The sequence below is a fragment of the Homo sapiens genome, chromosome 1 (genome assembly GCF_000001405.40).
Source record: "Homo sapiens chromosome 1, GRCh38.p14 Primary Assembly".
Lineage (NCBI taxonomy): Eukaryota > Metazoa > Chordata > Mammalia > Primates > Hominidae > Homo > Homo sapiens.
Window position 1 is genome coordinate 85882295 of NC_000001.11, and position 21914 is coordinate 85904208.

General features: G+C 35.8%; 1 protein-coding gene and 1 pseudogene across 20 annotated transcripts in view, besides 1 other annotated feature; both read right to left on the minus strand.

Annotated features, from left to right (window-relative positions):
- Positions 1–21914, minus strand: part of COL24A1 (collagen type XXIV alpha 1 chain) — a 427752-nt gene that overhangs the window by 153062 nt on the left and 252776 nt on the right. For all 20 annotated transcript variants that reach the window (NR_146340.2, NR_146341.2, NR_146342.2 and 17 more), the window contains 4 exons: positions 14062–14115; positions 13727–13771; positions 13564–13608; positions 7266–7319 (listed from right to left, as the gene is read on the minus strand). Coding sequence is in view for 14 of the 20 variants with exons in the window: in XM_047417004.1 (XP_047272960.1) it covers positions 7266–7319; positions 13564–13608; positions 13727–13771; positions 14062–14115 (198 nt within the window). In the remaining 6 variants the exon portion in view is untranslated. The remainder of the gene's footprint in view (positions 1–7265; positions 7320–13563; positions 13609–13726; positions 13772–14061; positions 14116–21914) is intronic.
- Positions 1386–1504, minus strand: RNA5SP51 (RNA, 5S ribosomal pseudogene 51; annotated as a pseudogene).
- Positions 14364–14863: an enhancer, noted in NCBI's record as "H3K4me1 hESC enhancer chr1:86362341-86362840 (GRCh37/hg19 assembly coordinates)". NCBI's record gives its function as "activates a minimal SCP1, AML or CMV promoter by ChIP-STARR-seq in naive H9 embryonic stem cells {active_cell/tissue: H9 hESC(naive)}" and the evidence as "EXISTENCE:reporter gene assay evidence [ECO:0000049][PMID:30033119]".

A 21914-nucleotide genomic window follows, 5' to 3' on the forward strand; every position in this document is an offset into this window, starting at 1 on the left:
TCTACTAAAAATACAAAAAATTAGCCGGGCATGGTGGCGGGCGCCTGTAGTCCCAGCTACTTGGAGAGGCTGAGGAAGGAGAATGGCGCGAACCCGGGAGGCGGAGCTTGCAGTGAGCCGAGATCGGCCACTGCACTCCAGCCTGGGCGACAGAGCAAGACTCCGTCTCAAAAAACAAAAAACAAAAAACAAAAAACACACGAATAAAAAAATTTGTTAAGGTGTTTTATGGCCCAGAATTTGGTCTATCTTGGTGAGTGTTCCATGTCAGTTTGTGAAGCATGTGCATTCTACTGTTGTTGGATAACATATTTTATAAATGTAAATTAGATCTAGTTGACTTACGGTACTAACTCTCTCTTGACTAATTTTCTGCCTGCTGGGTCTCTCAATTACTGATAGAGGGGTGTTATTGTCTCCAACTATAATAATAGAGTCATCTATTTTTCCTTGAAAATTATCTCAGCATTTGCTTCATGTATTTTGATGCTCCGTCGTCAGGTGCATTAAGTACTGTTATCCTAGCTTGGAGAAATGACCCTGCTATCATTGCACCATGTCTCTCTTTACCCTGACAATTTTCCTTGTTCTGAAGTCTGCTTTCTCTGAAATATAAATATTTCCAGCTTTCCTTTGAATAGCGTTAGCATGGTATACTTTCCTTCATATTTCACATGGATTTCTTGAAGACAACATACAATTGGGTTTTGCTTTCCTATTCACTTTGGCAATCTCTTATTTCTTAAGTGGTATACTTAAACCATTGACATTTAAGTGACTATGATATCATTGAGTTAGTATATATCAACTGTGGACTGCGTTAGTTTTCATTTGTTGTCTTTATTCTTTATTGCTTCTTCTTCTTTCGTCTTCTTCTTCTTCTTTTTAATGTTTTTGGCTTCTCATTTTATTTTATTTTAATTTTTATGTCTATTTCTTTTTTGAGATAGAGTCTCACTCTGTCATCCAGGCTGGAGTGTAGTGGCATGATCTCGGTGCACTGCAAACTCTGCCTCCTGGGTTCAAGAGATTCTCCCACTTCAGCCCCCTGAGTAGCTGGGACTACAGGAGAGTCCCACCATGTCCAACTAATTTTTGCGTTTTTTGGTAGAGATGGGGTTTTACCATGTTGTCCAGGCTGGTCTCAAACTCCTGACCACAAGCAATCTACCTGCCTCGGCCTCCTAAAGTGCTAGGATTATAGGCATGAGCCACTGTGCCCAGTCTGGCCTCTCATTTTAATTAAGCGTTTTATATGATTTCATTTTCTTTCCTGGTTTAGCATACAAACTATACTACTTTTAAAACTTTTTAAAGTGGCCACTCTAGAGTTTGCAATACATATTTACAATTAACCCAAGTCCATTTTCTTTCTTTTTTTAAAAACCCTACAGCACGTGGTATTCCTAGGCCATCTCCAATCCCTGTACTAACCAGTCCTGACCCTGTTTAGCATCCAAGATCAGATGAGATTGAGAACATTCAGGGTGCTATGGCCATTGATCAAGTCCATTTTCAAATAACACTATACCACTTCATGAGTAGTGCCAATACTTTATAACAATTCCTCCCTCTTGTTCCTTATAACATTTGACTTATCCATGAGATACAATACCGAATACACTGTTGCTATTATTATTTTGTACAAATTGTCTGTTAGATCAATTAAGAATTATAAAAATATTTTATTTTACCTTTATTTATTCCTTCGCCAACACTCCTTTCCTAGATGAGTTTCTTACCTATGCCACTTTTCTTCTCTCTGAAGAACTTCTTTTAACATTTCTTGCTGGTCTGCTAGTGACAAATTCTTTAAATTTTTGTTTGAGAAAGACTTTATTTCTCTTTCACTTTGAAATTCCCAGTTTCATAATTCCAAAATGTCTGCTATCCCTGAGTCTGTTTCTGCTTGTCTCTGTAGACTGTTTTTGCCTTTTACCTTGCCTTATAATTTTTTTTGAAAGCCAGACATGATGTAAATGTAAATGAAACCAAGGTGAATAGGCCTTTAATGTGATATTTGATATTATCTGGCTGGGGGTTAGGCTGTGTTTACTGGTTGTTGTAGCTATGGTGTCTCAGGCTAAAATGTCCTCTAATGTCATTGTTTTTTACTCCCCTGTTTTATTTAGCCTTTCTGAGGGACTCTTTAAATAGGGTTTGTGGCACAGTTCCTTTAGCTATAATCTGTTATTGCACAGGAACCCCACTGATTTGATTGTAAGGTATGAGTGTAGGAAGGGCATTCTATAGTTCTACAATTAGGTCTCAGTCTTTTAGTGAGTCTGAATTGGATATTACCCTTCTTCCACATCAAAGGCCAGAGGGGGCTGGAGTGGAATATTTCTCTTCCTCCAGCTGAAGGCTAGAGGGAGGTGAAATTAGGTTTTCCTTTCCCAAAGGTCAGTTAGTCTTTGGTAAAACACCAGTTTATTCTCTGATAAATAATTTCCCTGGAGGGCAAGAACTGTTAAGGAGATCAGAGAATTCTAGGTGTTTTTCAAAATGCTTACTATCCCTCTCCCTCTGCTGGAAGTCAGAGGGAATTTTTCTCTATCTTTAAAGTAAGAACCTGTTAGGGCTCTGGGAGGAAGTAAAACTCAGGAACATGTAGGGGCCTCCCAAAGACTGGGCCCTCTCTGAGTTTTTTAACACTCAAGCTGGTCTACACTGAGTCTCCAGTAATTTGCTAATTATAGTTTAAAGTGTCCCTACTGTCCCGGTGTGGGCTATGTAGTTGCCTGTCTGTCTCTCCATTTTGGGGGCAGTAGTTTGTCTTGTAACCTTAATTCTCTGACAGATCTAAGAAGAGTTGTTGATTTTCAGTATGTCCATCTTTTTTTCTTGTTTTGAGGATGGGAGTGATGACTTCCAAATTCCTTACATTTCATACCAGAAAACACATTTATTTATTTACTTATTTAGAGGCAGAGTCTTGTTCCGTCACCCAGGCTGGAGTGCAGTGGCGCGATCTCGGCTCACTGCAACCTCCGCCTCCCAGGTTCAAGTAATTCTCCTACCTCAGGTTCCTGAGCAGCTGGGATTACAGGCACCCACCACCATGGCTGGCTAATTTTTGTGTGTATATATATATATATATATATTTTTTTTTTAAGTAGAAACTAAATGTTGGCCAGGCTGATCTCAAACTCCTGACCTCAGGTGATCCACCTGCTTTGGCCTCCCAAAGTGCTGGGTTTACAGGTGTGAGCCACCGTGCCCAACTCAGAAAACACTTTACTATTGTCAACCTAAATGACAAAGAGAAAGAGGCTCTCTAAAATAAATAACGAATTTATTTTGGAATAGAGCATTGCAATGGGAATATGCATGCCATAGTAAGCTATGCACATATTCAGGGAGATAAAGGAAGGTAATGGTTTTTAAAGGAAAAATGAGGATTATATAATTGTTTTGAAATGATTATCCTTGGCTAAAAATATCAACAACAATGGTGACACCAGTCCAAGGCTGGACAGGCTGTTGCTGGGCAGATGTCTTTTCAGAAGTATTTTTTGTATATGGGTGCAAATGTCCTTTGGGCAAGGTTGTGATTTTTGCAATTTTTTGTGATAGTTTTTGTTATCAGGCATCTAAGAATGAGAACTCTGTCTTTATGGCCTTCAGCTCTATTTGTCAGGTTTTTCTTTTATTTTCTTAACATCAGTGACTCCATTTTGATTCTGACAACTTTCACATTATGATTTTTAAATCTTTTTTAGGGGGGAGACTGGATTCAGCTAGAAGCCAAATTGTGTTCCACACACAATAACTTTTTTTTTTTTTGAGATGGAATCTCACTCTATCACCCAGGTTGGAGTGCAGTTGTGCGATCTTGGCTTGCCTCCTGGGTTAAAGCAATTCTGCCTCAGCCTCTCGAGTAGCTGGGACTACAGGTGTGCACCACCACATCTGGCTAATCTTTTGTATTTTTAGTAGAGGTGGGGTTTCACTATATTGGTCAGACTGGTCTTGAACTCCTGACCTCAAGTGATCCATCTGCCTCGGCCTCCCAAAGTGCTGGGATTACAGGCGTGAGCCACCGTGCTTGGCCCCCATGCGATGATTTTTAAAGAATCAAAAATGGTTGGCTGGATGTGGTGGCTCACACCTGTAATCCCAGCACTTTGGGAGGCAGAGGCGGGTGGATCACAAGGTCAGGAGATCAAGACCATCCTGGCTAACACGGTGAAATCCTGTCTCTACTAAAAATACAAAAAATTATTGGGGCGTGGTGGCATGCACCTGTAGTCCCAGCTACTCGGGAGGCTGAGGTAGGAGAATCGCTTGAACCTGGGAGGCGGAGGTTGCAGTGAGCCAAGATTGCACCACTGTACTCTAGCCTGGGCGACAGAGCGAGACTCTGTCTTAAAAAAGAAAAAAAAAATGGTTGCTAAATTTTAGACTACTTGCTTTTGTATTTCTCATTATATCTGTGATATATTAATAGATTTCTTAATAACAAACTTTTCCTTGATTGTAATTCTTCCTTTTACTTCATTAAGGTGGATAATTCTTTATATACATGGTTAAATTTTACTTAATTTTTTGTTTAGATTTTTACAATTACATTTGTAAGTGAAATTCATCTGCCACTTTATTTTGGCTGCTCTCTTTGTCTGACTGAGATGCTGATATAGAGTACTCTTATCTTTTGTTTCCGAGACTGTTGCCACTTTATCTTTACAAGTGATCTAATGAGGAACTGAGTGAAGTTTTATTATACACTTTTAGTTAACTTGAGAATCCTGTTAACTATTTTTTGAGGTAAGTGGAAATGACTTCTGGTATCTAAGAAAGAGTAGCTAGAAAATAATATTTTAAAATTTACAAGGGGATATTATAAAGCAAGCTTATGAAGAGTTAATTTTAGAGTACAGCATTCCCCTTGTTCCCTCTTTAAAGTCAGTTTTCAATAATTAACAGATATTAACTATATTTATTTAGGTCAGGAGATTTTTTTTCAACTTGTCTTCTGAAACGGAAGAATAAATGAACAAAATAATAAAAGAGAGAATGGACAAATATCACCATTCTCCTCTTATTGAAGGCGATTGGGTACAGTTGTGCAGGTTGAACACTACATAAACCAAGGGACATTATTTGTTACAAGGTTTGCATTGATTAGACATTTTCTTTCTGTACGTGTGTGATTAAAATCTACATCAGGGGTCAGCAAACTTTTTTTTTTTTTCAAGGGCAAGACAGTAAGTATTTTAGGCTTGTGGGTCATGTGGTCTCTGTCAAAACTTTTAAACTTTGCTGTTATAGTATGAAAGCAGCCATCCATACATAAGGGAATCGTTGTGGCTGTGTTTCAATAAAATTTGATTTACAGAAGTATAACTGGACTGAGGGCTGTAGTTTACCTATCCTACTTTATGCCTACGTACTTCTAAGGGGATCTAATATTATCATGAAGATTTTAAGATGGGTTATGTTTATGGCTGAAACTCCTAACTTACATGTCTGATTTTCCTCTTATTCTCTCAGTTTCTTGTGCAGTTTCAACCTTTTCTGCCAGCGTTTTGTAAATGTTGTAGTTCTTTAAGCCTCAGCCTTAGATCTTTTTCTTTTCTCACTTCTATACTCTTTCCATAGGCAATGAATCCAACATTTTTTAACTTCAGTGTATTCCTCTACTCTGAAGCCAACTGCCAACTTCATGTTTCTCAAAGACACCTGAAATTCAACAGTTAAACTGAATTTATAATCTTCCATTCTCAAACCTACTTTTCCGTGTTTTTTTTTGTTTCAGTGAATAGTATCATCAACTCTTTAATACAATAAGCCAGAAATTTAAGAATTATACTTCACATACAGAGTCTTTATTACCTATTGGTTTTATCTCCTTTTGAATTAGTCTGTCCACTTCTTTTCCCTGCTCATAAAAAAGGTCCTGCCATTTTTTATCTGGATTATTGCAACAGCCAGCCATTCTTGGCTCCCTCCATTTTGTAATTTGACTGATGTTTACAAAATAGATATCAGATAATAAACTAAATAATCTGATAATAAAGCTAGCCCGAGCCCTTTAATAACATCCTTTGTTCTAAGGATAAAAATTAAAAATGTTGGCAATAGCCCTCATAAATCTATGAGTGTTTTGTCACCTGCCTCATTTCTATCCCTATCTGGCACTTACTTATATATACCAGACATTATACCAGGAAAGGGGATTACAAAGATAAAAGAAATGGTCTCTGATTTCAAGCAGTGTACAGACTTTTTAGGGGATATACTTAAGTAAATAATGCTAAAGAGAGTTGCATTATTTTAGGTCAGATAAATATCAGAATTGAAATGGCAGGTTAAGATATACATAATAGGGAGAAAACCAAGAAGGATTTAGCTTAAAAAATCAACAACATATCTAAGATTCTTTATTTGGAAAGAACTATAAATACTGTCAAATCTTCACTTATTGTTTGAGAGCTTATATCACAGATTAAGTATATAAATGAGGAAAAAGCTAAGGTAAGAATAGCTCTTTTAGTGTTAGAATTTTCCATTTGCTACTAACTAAATGAATTATACAAAAGCCACCTGTAAACCTTTGTGTCAACCGATAATAAAATCAATGCAGTTGTTTGAAAGACTATATTGTATTGTACATCTTAGAAGCACATTATAGCACATTACATCTGACACTATTAACCAGAAGAATGACTTCATTGGCAAAAAAGAATAAATTGTAAGAAAGTAGGTGTGACAGGTCTTTCCTTTTCACAACGTACCGTCCATGGAAACTCCATAATTGAATCATATTTATGAAACTATTTCATAATGATTTCATAAGTTTTTGTATTGATGCAAGCTTTTGTACTGTTGATGTAACTGCATTTCTGTCATGTTTGCACATTTTGGCCCATCAGATGTAAAATTTGGCTTCTCTCTGTATGGTCTTCTAATTATAGAAATTGCCTCATAAATGTGATTGTGCGTGTGTGGCAACATAATAATTATAAGAACAGCAAGCCATTCAGAAAGAGAATTTCTGAGATTCAATAAAACAGAGTTTTATTTGTTGAAAATAGAAATATGCTCAGATTTAACAGCTCCAGAAAAACAGCACCATATTTGACTATATGCAACCAGAAAGGCACTATAAACTATTATTTTTCATTCTATGTGATTAGTCTATGGTGTCTATGATAAATGCTGCTTTCTAAAACATACCAGTCACAGCACAGCAGAGCAATAATGGAAATGTAAATGTATTTTATGAGAAAGACACAATTAGAAAAGTATAAAGATAAACTTACTGGCTCTCCTGGAAGTCCTCTGTCACCTGTACTTCCAGGCAATCCCTGTAAACCCTGGACAAATAAAGGCAATACTTGTAGGAAAAGTGGTGTGTGAAGATGTTTTAGACACTTTCCTTACCTTAGCTTTCCTATGGATCCTTCCACCCAACTTTTCTGTCTATTGCTATTCTTTTTTTTTTTTTGCTTTTGTGGTAAGATACACACAACATAAAATTTACTATTTTAACCATTTTTAAATGTAAAGTTTGTGGCAGTAAGTGCATTCACAATGTTGTGTAACCGTTACCAGAACTTTTTCATCTTCCCAAACTGAAACTCTGTACCCATTAAATACTAGCTCCCCATCACCCCTTTTTTTCTATTTCCTGGCAACCACCATTCTATTTTCTGTCTCCATGAATTTGACTACCCTAAGTACCTCATATTAGTGAGATCATACAATATCTGTCTTTCTGTGACTGGCTTATTTCACTTAGCATAATGTCTTCAAGGTTCATCCCTGTTGTAGCATGTGTCAAAACTTCCTGCTTTTTAAGATTGGGTCCACTGTATGCATATTCCACATTTTGTTTACCTATTCATCTATCAAAGAACATGGATCACTTCCAACTTTTGGCTATTGTGAATAATGCGGCTATTAACATGGGTATGCGAGTATCTGTATGAGTCCCTTTTTTCAATTATTTGGGTATCTACCTAGAAGTGGAACTGATAGATCATATGGTAATTCTCTGTTTAACTTCTTGACAAACCACCAAACTGTTTTCCACAGCAGTTCCCCTATTTTATATTTGTACCAGTAATGCACAAGGGTTCTAATTCCTCCACATCCTTGGCCACACAAATTTTCTTTTTTTTTTTTTAGAACAGCATTCTAATGTTTGTGAAATAGTATCCCATGGTGGTTTGATTTTCATTTCCCTAATGACTAGTGATGTTGAGTATCTTTTCATGTGCTTACTGGCCATTTGTATATCTTCTTTGGAGAAATGTCTATTCAAGTCCTTTGCTCATTTTTCCATCAGGTTGTTTTTTTATTCTTGAGTTGTAGGAGTTCTTTATATCTACCCCTATTTTTATTTAATCCTCACTCCTATATTGTGACAAATAATTATCCAAAATTATTTTAAATCTGAATTTCTTTATAGTTTTAATATTCATATAAAGTTTCCTTTTTCCAAAAATAATAATCCTTGTGATGTGTTAATAAGTATGACTTTTGCCTTTAAACCCTGGCAAGGCACAGGAGTCTTGGAACCTAGATAACTGGAAATAACCATACTGGACCTGTAACTTCCTTTTTTCCCCATCTTTACACTCTTTGTAGTACCATAAAAGAGCATCTCAGATATGAAGTAGATAGAACACTAAACCAAATTCTGAGTCTTCTCTGACTCAGTCAAAGATTTATTGAGCATTTACTGTGTGCGAGGCACTGATGACCACTGACAATACATAACATGTTGATCCTTTTGTAAATTGCATCTTTTTTTCTTTTTTTTTTTTGAGACGGAGTCTCATTCTGTCACCCAGACTAGAGTGCAGCAGCATGATCTTGGCTCACTGCAACCTCCACATCCTGGGTTCACGCCGTTCTCCTGCCTCGGCCTCCCGAGTAGCTGGGACTACAGGCGCCCGCCACCACGCCCGGCTAATTTTTTTTTTTTTTTTTTTTGTATTTTTGGTAGAGACAGAGTTTCACCGTGTTAACCAGGATGGTATCAATCTCCTGACCTCGTGATCCACCCGCCTTGGCCTCCCAAAGTGCTGGGATTACAGGCGTGAGCCTCTGCGCCCGGCCGTAAGTTGCATCTTCTACATTATTGATCTCAGGAAAGCTGATAACTATACAGCTAATCACAAATACCATTTTACCTTAAAAACTAAAAGGTATAAAAATATGACATTAAATTAGAAGTAAAGATATTCAAAGTTCTTAGCAACACACTATCTTCTAAGTTATAATCTTTAATGCTATGTTCAGTTTTTCTGGCTAGGGAAAGGGAAATATGTAAAATTATGGACTCCCATCTGGTTGAGGCCCTGTTTCAGTCATGTAAATGATATGGTGCCTATTTACTCCAGGATCCTTAATTAAGAGAGAGGATCATTATAAGGAATCTCTCTGTGCCTAGTACACCAACTGAAATATACAGAAAACTTCAGAACTTTAAATAATGTCTGCCCAATTTTCTTTGTAAAGTATGTTTAGACATAATATCAAGCTTATCATGTACTTTTAATGCTGTTGATACTGCATAAAAGCTCTTTTGCAAAGCTACGAAATAATTTAAGTGGACTCTGTTTTTATTGGGGATAAAGAGGAAAAGCACAAGCTGGAATAAAATAAAAATTATCTTTAAGGCTTTTCAGAACTCCCTTCTCTATGACTTCAACCCAGTAACTATGATAATGATGACCATGAGGATAATAATGACTATTTTGGTTGTTATTTATTAGAGCCTGTGCCAGGAACATAATAAATATCATTTGTTATACATTTATTATGACTATGAAAGATTTCCTATATCAAAGATAGAGAAACTGAAGCCCAGAGAAGTTAAGTAATTTGTACAAAGTCAAGACTGCTAGTAAGTGGCAAAACCAATATATGACTTCCAATATGATTGATTCCAATAAAATATAATGATACATTATATGCAAGGGATTAATTTTATATATATATAACTGTGGACTACTTATCAGAAATACCAGCGGCCAAAAGAAAATGGCAAGTTATCTTTATAGTGCTGAATGAAAACAAAAAATCCCCCAAAAGACTCTGTCAACCTAAAATCTGATATCCGGTGAAAGTATACTTCAAAAGTAAAGGAAAAATAAAGACATTTTATAAACAAAAACTAAGAGAAATATGTACTAGCAGACTTTACTACAAGAAATATAAAGGATGTTCTATAGGTTACAGGAAAATGACACCATTTGGAAACACAAATCTTCAGAAAGGAATGAATAACATCAGAAATGGCAAATATGTGGGTAAATGATAAACATTTTTTCCCCATTAAACATCTCTAAAGTATGTATTTCATTTACATCATGAAAATATTTTATTTATATTAAAGCAAAAATCATAACTTTGCAATGCGTAGTTTAAAATATATGTAGATGTAATACATAAAATAATTATAGCATAAAAAATATTAGTAAATGGACCTATATTGTTGGCAAGTTTCTTACACTTGTGTTAAGTATTTACATAAAATACTTATTTTGTGGCACTTCACAATAAAAGTTTGCTGTCCCTTGACCTAGAATAACCATGGAAAATTATGAGAAGAAATAGAGCTAAAAATCCAACAGACAGATTAAAATAGAATTCTCAAAATTATTCAATGCCAACAGAAGACATTGAACAATAACAATAAAAAGGACACAAAGAAAAACAGATCATTAAATGGGAGACCCAAATCTAACCACATCAATTACGTATCAATAATTACATTAAATTGAAATTGAACAAATGCTCAAATTAAAAGGCAGAAATTGTCAGAATGAATAAAACACAAGGTCCAACTATAAGATATTCACTTTAAATATCAAGACACAGATAGGTTGAAAGTAAATTAAGGAACAAGATATGCCATGTAAGCAGCAAGCATAAGAAAGCTGGAGAAACTTTATGTGAGTATTAATATCAGATAACATATACTTCACAACAAATAGTATTACCAGGAGTAAAAAGTATTACCAGAGATAAACAAGAATATTTTTTAACAAAAAAAGGATCAATTGATCAGGAAGACATAATAATTATAAATGTGAATAAACTTACAATAGAATTTAAAAATACATAAAGAAAAATTAGAAAGAATTAAAGGGAGAAATAGAGAAACACAAAAATTATAGTTGAAGAATTTTTACACCCATCTCACAAACTGATAGACTATCTAGATAAAAAAAACCTCAGTAACGTATGAGTTATGATAGTTTTTATATTATTTAGAGAACCTAAAATAGTGATCCAGGCCTTAACACCTTAATAACACAATGGATTGTGGTCTTTCTTCCTGATTTTCTTTTGAGTCAGATGTATGGGAGGCAAGTATTGTATAGGAAACAGTGTTGGTCCACGGACAAATATACTTTTACTAGTTATCTGGATTACCAGAGCACTATATGTTGCCAGTTTTCATTTAATTCCTGGCTTAAAATTATGAAAATTTAGAGATGGAGAGGGTCTTAGAGCTCTTATCCCAACCATTTTTTAAAATTCATTTTAAAAATAAAAAATATGTATTTTTAGAGATGGGGGTCTCACTACATTGCCCTAGCTGGTCTTGAACTCCCAGGCTCAAGAGATCCTTCTGCCTCTGCCTCCCAAAGTGCTGGGATTACAGGCATGAGCCACCATGCCCAGGCCTAACCAATTTAAACAAAGTTATATGGTTTTTAGGAGCATACACTAGACCAAAGGACAATCTGACCTCGAATTTATCTTTCTAATATACAGCACTGCCTGTTTGTTGATAGTGCATAAATGACTAAAAACGCTAAGACTGTGCTGAAGGATCAAGTGAACCTTTGGGGCTTGTCTGGCTTTTTTCAGTTGACTTTTCCCAGCTTCTCCAAGATGTCAATCCAATCCCATCATGTCAATCCAATCAAGGAGAAGGAGACAATGTAGGTATAGAGCTAAGTAAACCTCAACAACTATTATAAATTCATATTTAATGTCCAACCATGTCATACACTAAGGTAATTTAATTCTTCCAGGAGTCTATGAGACATGTTTGCCAGGTAAGGTTACAAACCAGGGTAAGGTTACAGAATGATTCTAGTATCTTTTATTTAATTGAGAAAGTCAAACATGAAATATCATGTTTATACAGGCATACATTGATGGGCTGAAAATGAAGGTAAAATTCTAGGGAAGGTCAACAATGAATGACCTATATTTTTACCTTTATTTTCAGCTCATCAATGAATACAAAATGAATAAGTAATTTTATTTCTCTGGGTCTCATTTTTTTTTTAAATGAGAGGGATGAACTTGACCTCCAAACTTTTCCACTCACTGCAATGTATCAGCACTGTATAAAGTATATCAAAGTAGTCATAATCTATACAAACACCATTTATATCAATATAATAGAAACTCAGGTGATGAATATTAAAACTCAAGTAATATTCTTTGAGGATAACGTTAATCAATAATACAATGCCACACACAAGTTCTTTCCTAGACATAGTCATTTGTTTTCTGTCTTAGGTCTCTGGTATTTTAGGTTGGATCACTGTTAAATACAATGTTATTGTGGGAAACAGCGGGCAGGGGGCAGCAGATTTCAAAAAGGAACAAGCAAATGCAGTGACATTTACTACATAGACAATTATTAATACTGTAGCGGCTAAAACATTTTTATTCTATCCTTTTCTGTCTCCCGAGCTGCAATCTATTTATATTATCTATTTTTATAACTTTATATTATACATATATGTGTATATAACAAATCAAAATGTCATCATTAAAAATTAAAATTCTGAATGAAAGTAAAAATATCCATATACTTAAGCTTATGTGCTCACATACATGTACTATCTTACATGTCTATGTGTAAGTATGCATGTGTGGGTAAATCTTTAACATTTTTTTCCTCTTACTTAGTGATGATAACCATAGAACTTGTTGCCTCTCAGGGAAAAAAATGTATAATTCTGGTAAGATTTTTGATGGTAGGAAAATAACTAGTATTATAAAATATTAACAACTCTTAAGCAGTGCCATGGGAAGGCATGAAGACACACACAGCTCTATACTCCAAAGGCCTAAAAGGAATTCAAGTTGAGTTAAAAGAAAACTAGGCAAGAGGCCTGAAAAAAGTTAGTTATTATGTTAGCTTTATTAATGTCTCATTATATTTATATGTCACACCATTTTATTTTGAAATGGGTTTTACAGTAAAAGTAATTTATCATAACTAGAGTGAAGTAAAAGTAACAGTTATAACCACCAGTTATGGATAGGTACAACCCAGGCCCAGAATGGGTAAGCAACTTGCTCAAATAAAACAATGACCCAATGATTAAAGGAGAAAAAGAACTTATATTCTTTTAGTCCAACATATTGAATACTAAACAATAGTTGTATTAGAGAATAAAGCAGATAAAGGTAATCAGCTCATAATTTATACATATATCAAAATATCACATTGTATACTGCAAATATATATAATTTTTATGTGTCAAAAAATCCCCCAAACATTGTTTGAGCAGCCCCTTTCCCCCAAAAATGCAGATAAAAATTTTTCATAGCATGATTTTTTAAATTACTTACTGGTTTCCCTTGAAATCCTCTTTCTCCAGGGTTTCCAGTCTTACCCTACATGAGAAAGAAAATTCTTGAGTCAAGTAGTCCCCTCCAAAAAGATTAATCATACTAAGAAAAACAAAAAAGACTTAAAATGTTCATCTTTAATGTGAAATGTTTTATTACTTACAATAAGACCATGAGGCCCTCTTTTTCCTTGATCTCCTTTTTCACCCTAACAAAGTATCAAAGCCAGGTGAGTTAGTAAGAATGTGAATTATGGTCTTACTATGCTAGCATATGCTAGCATACACTCACATACAAAAAAGACAGTAAGTATATAGTTCATTATTGAAAAGAAAACATCTCTGCCTGTGTAGTAAAAACTTTATGCGTTTCATACTTAGACAAAGAGAAAACTTAGAACCATACTTTTGTAGGGAAATATATTGTTTTTTAGACTAGTAGGACATATGATCTCAATAAAATTTAACTACATATGAAATGAGAAAAATCAATGATTACCTTGGCACCTTGTATACCTTGTTCCCCTAAGAGACCATCTGGTCCTCTTGATCCCTAGAGGTGAAAAAAATATCCTGTTGTTAATTTGAAATGTTCCTTTTTTTTTCTTAACAGTTATGTGTCCTCACAGATGAACATGTTGATGATTTTTTTTTTTTGAGACGGAGTCTCACTCTGTCGCCCAGGCTGGAGTGCAGTGGCGCGTCTCGGCTCACTGCAAGCTCCGCCTCCCAGGTTCACGCCATTCTCCTGCCTCAGCCTCCCCCTGAGTAGCTGGGACTACAGGCGCTCGCCACCACGCCTGGCTAATTTTTTTGTATTTTTAGTACAGACGGGGTTTCACTGTGTTAGCCAGGATGGTCTTGATCTCCTGACCTCGTGATCCACCCGCCTCGGCCTCCCACAGTGCTGGGATTACAGGCGTGAGCCACCACCCACCGCGCACGGCCAAGATGTTGATTTTATGCCCTGACAACAGAAAATAATACAGCTGGGTATATGGCTCAACCTATCTGCATGGGAGAATCAGCCCATGTTTTTAAGATTTAATGACAAATAGTAAGTCAAATGAGCACAAAAATAGCTAACACAGTAGTTGAGGTGGTTATAATATAGGTGTGTTATTTGGGTATTTCGTTCACTTTATAATTTACTCAGCAGCCAGCCAGAATTTGTTCTTAATCAACTCTAAATTAAAAGTGGCTGGATTTGTTTCTCTAAGCAGTCTCCTTAAGTTTAATATTTTTAAATGGTGCTCTTCTCTTCACATTATTAGAAAATGATAGCAATGCAGGAACAGAAAACCAAACACCGCATTTTCTCACTTATAAGTGGGAGCTGAATGATGATAACACATGGACACATGGTGAGGAACAACACACACTGGGGCCTGTCAGGGGGCCTCGGGGGAGGGAGTGTATCAGGAAGAATAGCTAATGGATGCTGGGCTTTATAACTAAGTGATGGGATGATCTGTGCAGCAAACCACCATGTCACATGTTTACCTATGTAACAAACCTGCACCTCCTGTACACGTACCCCTGAACTTAAAATAAAAATTGAAGAAAAAAAAAGAAATAAAGTTTAGCTGGAATAAAAAAAAAAAGAAAGAAAGAAAATGAGTGCTGACTGCATTGTACCTGCTATGCAACTGCTTGTCAGGAATTACTGGGAGATGGCAGGGGCACAGAAAAGGTAGAGAAAATACTACTGAAAATATTCGTGTAAATTTAAAACTTCTCAGTGTTCATTCAATAATTAGTTGCAAAAAAGCCGTTGCAAAAGTCATTCTATAAGAAAATGACAGAATAGTCTTCCATTAAATTATAACTTTCTTTGGAAGATCTTAAAGTCCTTGTTCAGGGACTTGATTCAATTCTACAGACTCTAACTGAATACCTGTGGAAAAGGAATTATGTTAAGTGTTACAGTGATTTATAATTGAGAGAAAGTTTCTCTACTATACAAATATACAAAAGACAATAATATACAGAGAGATAAGACATGCCAAGGACCAAAACAAGAATTCAAAGAGGGAGACAAACTTCACATTTGTAATGGGAAATAAAGATATTTTTAGCAGCTGGAGGTCAAGTTCTCATAGACTTATTCAAAATAGAAGAAACTCTACAATGAGGGATAGTATGTGAAAAAAATATAGAGGCATGAAAACAGATACTCAAAGAATAAAAAAGTAGTTTGTTTGGTTAGGCTATTGATTACATGTTGAGAAATATTAAGATGTAAGTGTGGAAAAGAAGACTGGGACTTATAAGGTGAAGGTCTGAAGTTCACTTACAAATAATTTGGCAGAAAACTGATGCTAAAGATTTCTATACAGAACGGTGATACAAATCTCCCAGGACAACATACAGATTTGAAGGAGTCCTTTAGGCTTCAGAATCTTCTCTTGTATCCCATCTGAGATAAGCTTTGGTTTAGCTTTATATTATTAAAAGCTATTTACTATAATAGGACTCTCTTCTTGGGAACTCTTAGGGTAACTGCATTCCTTGATCCTCTGAGGCACATTCAGGGATTTGGACAGAACACACACTTCATGGAGGATCTGTAGCTCCACTGATCCTGATAAAGCCATAGCTCCGGCCCTACAATTTCTAAGTCTATATTCAAGGTACTCCATAATCTATTCCCAACTTTCTTTCTGCTCTATTTTCCAATGAAGGACTGAAAAACTGAACTACAGTCTTACTGTGCAAGACCTTGAAGATCAAGTTGAGGAGCATGGACTTAATTTCATAGATCAGTATTTTTTAACATGTGTTATTCATTCAGCAGATGTATACCGAGTGCCTACTATAAGCCAGCATTGTTTTAGGTCCAGAGGACATGGTAGAGAGAAGAGACAAATCCCTGAATTCATAAACAAGCAAATAAGTACGTAAAACTAAATTATAAAATGAAAATATGTAGTTAAGTATAATGAAGAAAAACAAAGAACTAGAGAGTATCCAAGGTGGGGAGGACTATTTCAGATAGGGTGGCCTGAAAAGTCTCTCTAAAGTGACATGTGGGTAGACACCTAAAAGAGGTAAGATTGCAAGCTATACAAATAATTTGGGGAAGATCACTGTAGCAGAAAAAACAGCAAGTGCAAAGTTCTGATGAGGGGTCATGCTTAGAATATTCAATAATTGAGTAGCCGAAGATGAAAAAAGAACAGTGTTCAAAGGATGACTCAAGTTTTAAGCATGAAGGTCCCTCAGGAATTTGCTCTAATAATCACCCTCAACCCTCAAGATGATCTTGAAATTTTAGCCGTCTCTATTGATTCTTTTTCTCTAGCACCTTCAATGCCTAATTCTTCTCTTTTTGCTCCAAAAGAAACACAGCTAATTTTTTTTTGAGTAACAAAAGAAGAAGGCCAAAAGACTGTGAAAAGGAATGAGTGGTCAACATTCTAAAATACTATAAAAAACAAGTAAGGTCTAAATTGAAAATGTGTCCACTGGTAATTAATTGGGCCCTTAAAACTCCTTTACAACCTAGAATTACTATGTATTTCTTTGATATTTTATTACTGAGTAATTGGTAGAAGATAACAGCATCAATAGAAAACAAATTAGAAATGTAGGTTTGCTTAGGGTGGAGAGGGAGGAGTAGTGGAAGATAAGGAGTTTGACTCTAGATGATCAAGCCCAATGAAGTAGATATCTCCAAGGCTAGTGATAGAGAGTTAGAAAGTTAGAAGTCATTCTAAGTTTACGTGGTGGCAGCCATAAGCATTAAGCTTCAAAAGGCCCCTGGACACATAGTTGTATATTTAGAATTTTATTTAAAAAGATTGTTTGGTCCAAAGATAGAAAATACATTTCATTTCTTGGATAAAATCAGATTAAGTGGCTGCCTAGATACACGTAGAAAAGGCTGCATCTAGCTGGAGTAAGTCTCATAATTAATTGCCAGTTTCTTGTTTGGGCACAGAAATCACCTACTGCCATAGCTGAACTAGTCCAAATCCCACTTTTTAAGATGAAGAAACTGAAGTCTGTAGATGTTAGGTGAGTAGCCTGACTCCCACGATGTCTAACTGTACAAAGACTGAACGACTGTGCTTTATTAAGTTTATAATATTTTTTCAAATGTTAAAAAGAAATGAGGTTAATCCCGTCAGCAAGTGAATTCAGACTGGAAGAGAGGACCTGAAATTTAGAAGTTTACAAAATGAATATTAAACATTCACAAGTAAAGTGCTGATTGGTATTGCAAATCAAGGAACTCCCTCTAAAATTAAGGAATACATATAGTAATAATAACCACTCATTTTATGTTTTACATTTAAAAAATACTTTTACTACTCAAAGCAATCTAGAGATTCAGTGCAATCCCTATCAAAATACCAATGTCATTTTTCACAGAGATAGAAAAAAAATCCTAAGATTCATATGTAACACAAAAAAGAGGCTAAATAGCCAAAGTAATCCTAAGCAGAAAGAATAAAGCTGGAAGCACCACACTACATGACTTTAAAGTACACTACTGGGCTGAGTATGGTGGCTCATACCTGTAATCCAACATTTTGGGAAGCTGAGGAGGGAGGATCACTTGAGCCCAGGAGTTCAAGATCAGCCTGGGTAAGATGGCAAGACCCTGTCTCTACAAAAAATTTAAAAATTAGCCAGGCATGGTGGAATATGCCTGTAGAACCAGCTACTTGGGAGGTTGAGGCAGTGGGATCATGTGAGCCCAGGAATTTGAGGCAGCAATGTGATATGATCGCGTCACTGCACTCCAGCCTGGGTGACAGAGTTACACCCCATCTTTAAAAGATAAAATAAAATAAAATATACTACAAAACTATAGTTACCAAAACAGCATGGTACTAGTATAAAAACAGACACATAGACAAATAGAACAGAAAAGAGAGCCCAGAAATAAATCTACACGTTTATAGCCAGCTGATTTTTGACAAAGGTGCCAAGAGCACACAATGGGGAATGGATGGCCTCTTCAATAAATGATGTTAGGAAAACTGTATATCCAGATGCAGAAGAATTAAACCCTTATTTAGCACCATATACAAAAATCAACCCAAAATGTATTAAAGACTTAAATATGAAGACTTGGAACTATAAAACTTCCAGAAGAAAAAGGGGAAAAGCTCCATGACATTGGTCTGGGCAATAATTTTTGGGTTAAAACCTCAAAAGCACAGGAAACAAAACCAAAAATAGACAAATGGGACTATGGTAAACAAAAAAGCTTCCATACAACATAAGAAACAATCAACAGTGTGAAGAGACAACCTGTTGAATGAGAGAACATATTTGCAAACTATTCATCTGACAAGGAACTATATATCCAGAATACACAAGGAACTCAAACAACTCAGTAGTTAAAAAATAATTCTATTAAAAATTGGGGAAAGAACCTGAGCAGACATTTCTTAAAAGACAGACAAATGGCCAACAGACACATGAAAAAATGCTCAACATCACTAATTATCAGGAAAATGGAAATCAAAACCACAATAAGATATCATCATATCACAGGAAGAATGACTATTATTAAAAAAACAAAAATCAATAGCTATTGGCCAGGATGCACAGCAAAGGGAACTCTTATATGCTGTTGGTGAGAATGTGAATTATTACTAATTCCATAGCCACTATGGAAAAGAGTATGGAGATTTCTCATAAAACTAAAAATGGAGCCTGGGTGTGGTGGCTCATGCCTGTAATCCCAGCACTTTGGGAGGCCAAGGCGGGTGGGATCACCTGAGGTCAGGAGTTTGAGACCAGCCTGGCCAACATGGTGAAACCCCATCTCTACTAAAAATATAAAATTAGCTGGGCATGGTGGCTGAGTAGCCTGTAATCCCAGCTACTCAGGAGTCTGAGACAGGAGAATTGCTTGAACCTGGGAGGCACAGGTTGCAGTGAGCCGAGATCATGCCACTGCATTCCAGCCTGGGCAACAGGGTGAGACAACAGGATGAGACTCCGTCTCAAAAAAAAAAAAAAAAAAAAAAAAAGAACTACCATACAATCCAGGAATCCCACTACTGGGTATTTATCCAAAGGAAAATAAATCACATATCGAAGGGACTTTTGCACCTATGTTTATTGCAGCACTATTCACAATAGCAAAGATATGGAATCAACTAAGTGTCCTTCAATGGACAAATGGATAAATAAAGTGTGGTATATGTACACAATGGAATAATTTGTAGGAACATGGATGGAACTGGAGGTCATTATATTAAGTGAAATAACCCAGGCACAGAAAGACAAATGCCACATGTTCTCACTTGAAGGAATGAAGGACATACCATCCCAAAATATGTCATGAAAACACTGGAGAAATTGTAGTTTCCAAAAGGGTGAGCTGATCTGTCTCCTTCTGCATGCAGCAAGCAATAAAGATCCCTCTGGGAGGGCTACCTTCTCCATACCAGTATGAGAAAATAGCCCTTATCACCAGAGTCTTACAATTGAAGGCTGCAATGGACCTGAATAAACACACTTTAATGAAGTAACTCATATCTTCCACCTGTTTTACACCCCCTCGCCAATATATCTCTTAGTGACTTCCCTAGAAATGTTTACCACTTTAGCTAGATTTTCTTTGTCCTGTCACTTTTTCTCAAATGTATCACTCTTTGTCTAAGAAGTATAAAAGCATCTTGTTTGGGGCACTTCAGACTTCACTCTCTTGTAAAGATCCCCATATACACACAAAACTAATATAATTTGTAACTTGTCTCTTGTTAATCTGCCTGGTGTCAATCTGGTTTCCAGATCCTGCTGAAGAGCCCACTGAGGGCTAAAATGGGGGCTGGAGGTGATCTCTGGCTGCCCTACACACTCATATGTGGGAGCTAAAAAAGTTCATTTCATGGAGGTAGAGAGTAGGACGATAAATACCAAAGGCTGGGAAGGGTGTATGGATGGGAGAGGGAGATAAAGGGAGGTTAGTGGGTACAAACATGCAATGAAATAGAAATAAGTTCTTTTGTTCAATAACAGAGTAGGGTGACTATAGTTAGCAATAATTTATTGTATATTTCAAAATAACCAGAAGAGTGGACTTGAAATGTTCCCAGCACATAGAAATGATAAATGCTAAAGGTAATGAATGAAATACCCTAAATACCCTGACTTGCTTACTATTCATTCTATGCATGTAACAAAATATCACACCCACCCCATAAATACGTACAAATACGTATCAATAAAAAAGAATGCTTCCTTAAAAAAACCCATTACTTAGAAAAATACTTTTACTTTATTATTTCATTTTATAAGTCAAGACAACACAGGGAATGAAGAAAGAGAAGTTCTGTGCCCACAGTGATGATAACCACATTTAGTTTAAAAAACAACCTGAAGGTGTAAGTAATGCAGTTATATTAATTAAAGGTAATAAAGCCTAAAGTTGCTAGTTAAGAGTTTAAGGCTGGCAGAAGAACTCTAGGAAAGCTTGGTACTCTCTCTGTTTAAAGCAAGAGTAAGCTAATTAACTGAAAGCTTAGCTTTATCAACATCTTTAAATTTCACGCTGATATTGGTTATAGAAGTTATCCCATGGGTTACTGTATATGTCTGCTTTGACTTCTAAGACAAAATAAGCTTTACGACAGGCTGTAAGAAAGTCAAATAGCATTATAATAGGCACCTAAATTTGGCATAGTTATATATTAAAATAACCGTTTAAAAATATCTCATGGATATTCTCTTAGAGTAACTATGCTGGCTAAAGAGAAAATCTAATATTTACATTCTTAGGAAAATTAAAGTTGGCTGCACTGAGCTGTATTAGTAAGTTCTCATAGCAGAAATAAAAATTTGATAGCTTAGCTACATAAACTAAGCATGTTTTATAAAATAAATACTGCTTGAATTATGGGCAATAACTAAATTCATAAATGATCAATTTACAGAACCACTACTTCGTATGATGTTAACATTACTCATGTGCCTAACTAATTAGGCCTAGCAGTCTTTTCTGGCTCTTGATTTACACAGCTGAAACAAAACGTTCTATTAAACAAAAACTAACATTATCAGTGATTTTAAGGAAAAAAATATTTTGATTCTATTCTTGTTATAAACTATTTCAGGAGAAGAAACCACAGAGGAGCTCTGCCTTATCATTTGGAGTGCTTCAGGTATTGAATCTAGCTTTGAATCTAAATGCGAAAATTGAGGACTGCTTCCCCCTATATGGTAAGCATTTCCTTGAAAGGGACAAATTTCAGAATTTCTATAGGCAGATCAATTTTACTTCCTCCATAGAAAACCTTAAAACATTACATATTTTTAATAGAGTTATTTTAATCTTTCCCTCCCATTTAAATCTTAAGCAGCATAGTCTGAATAAAAATGCTCAGT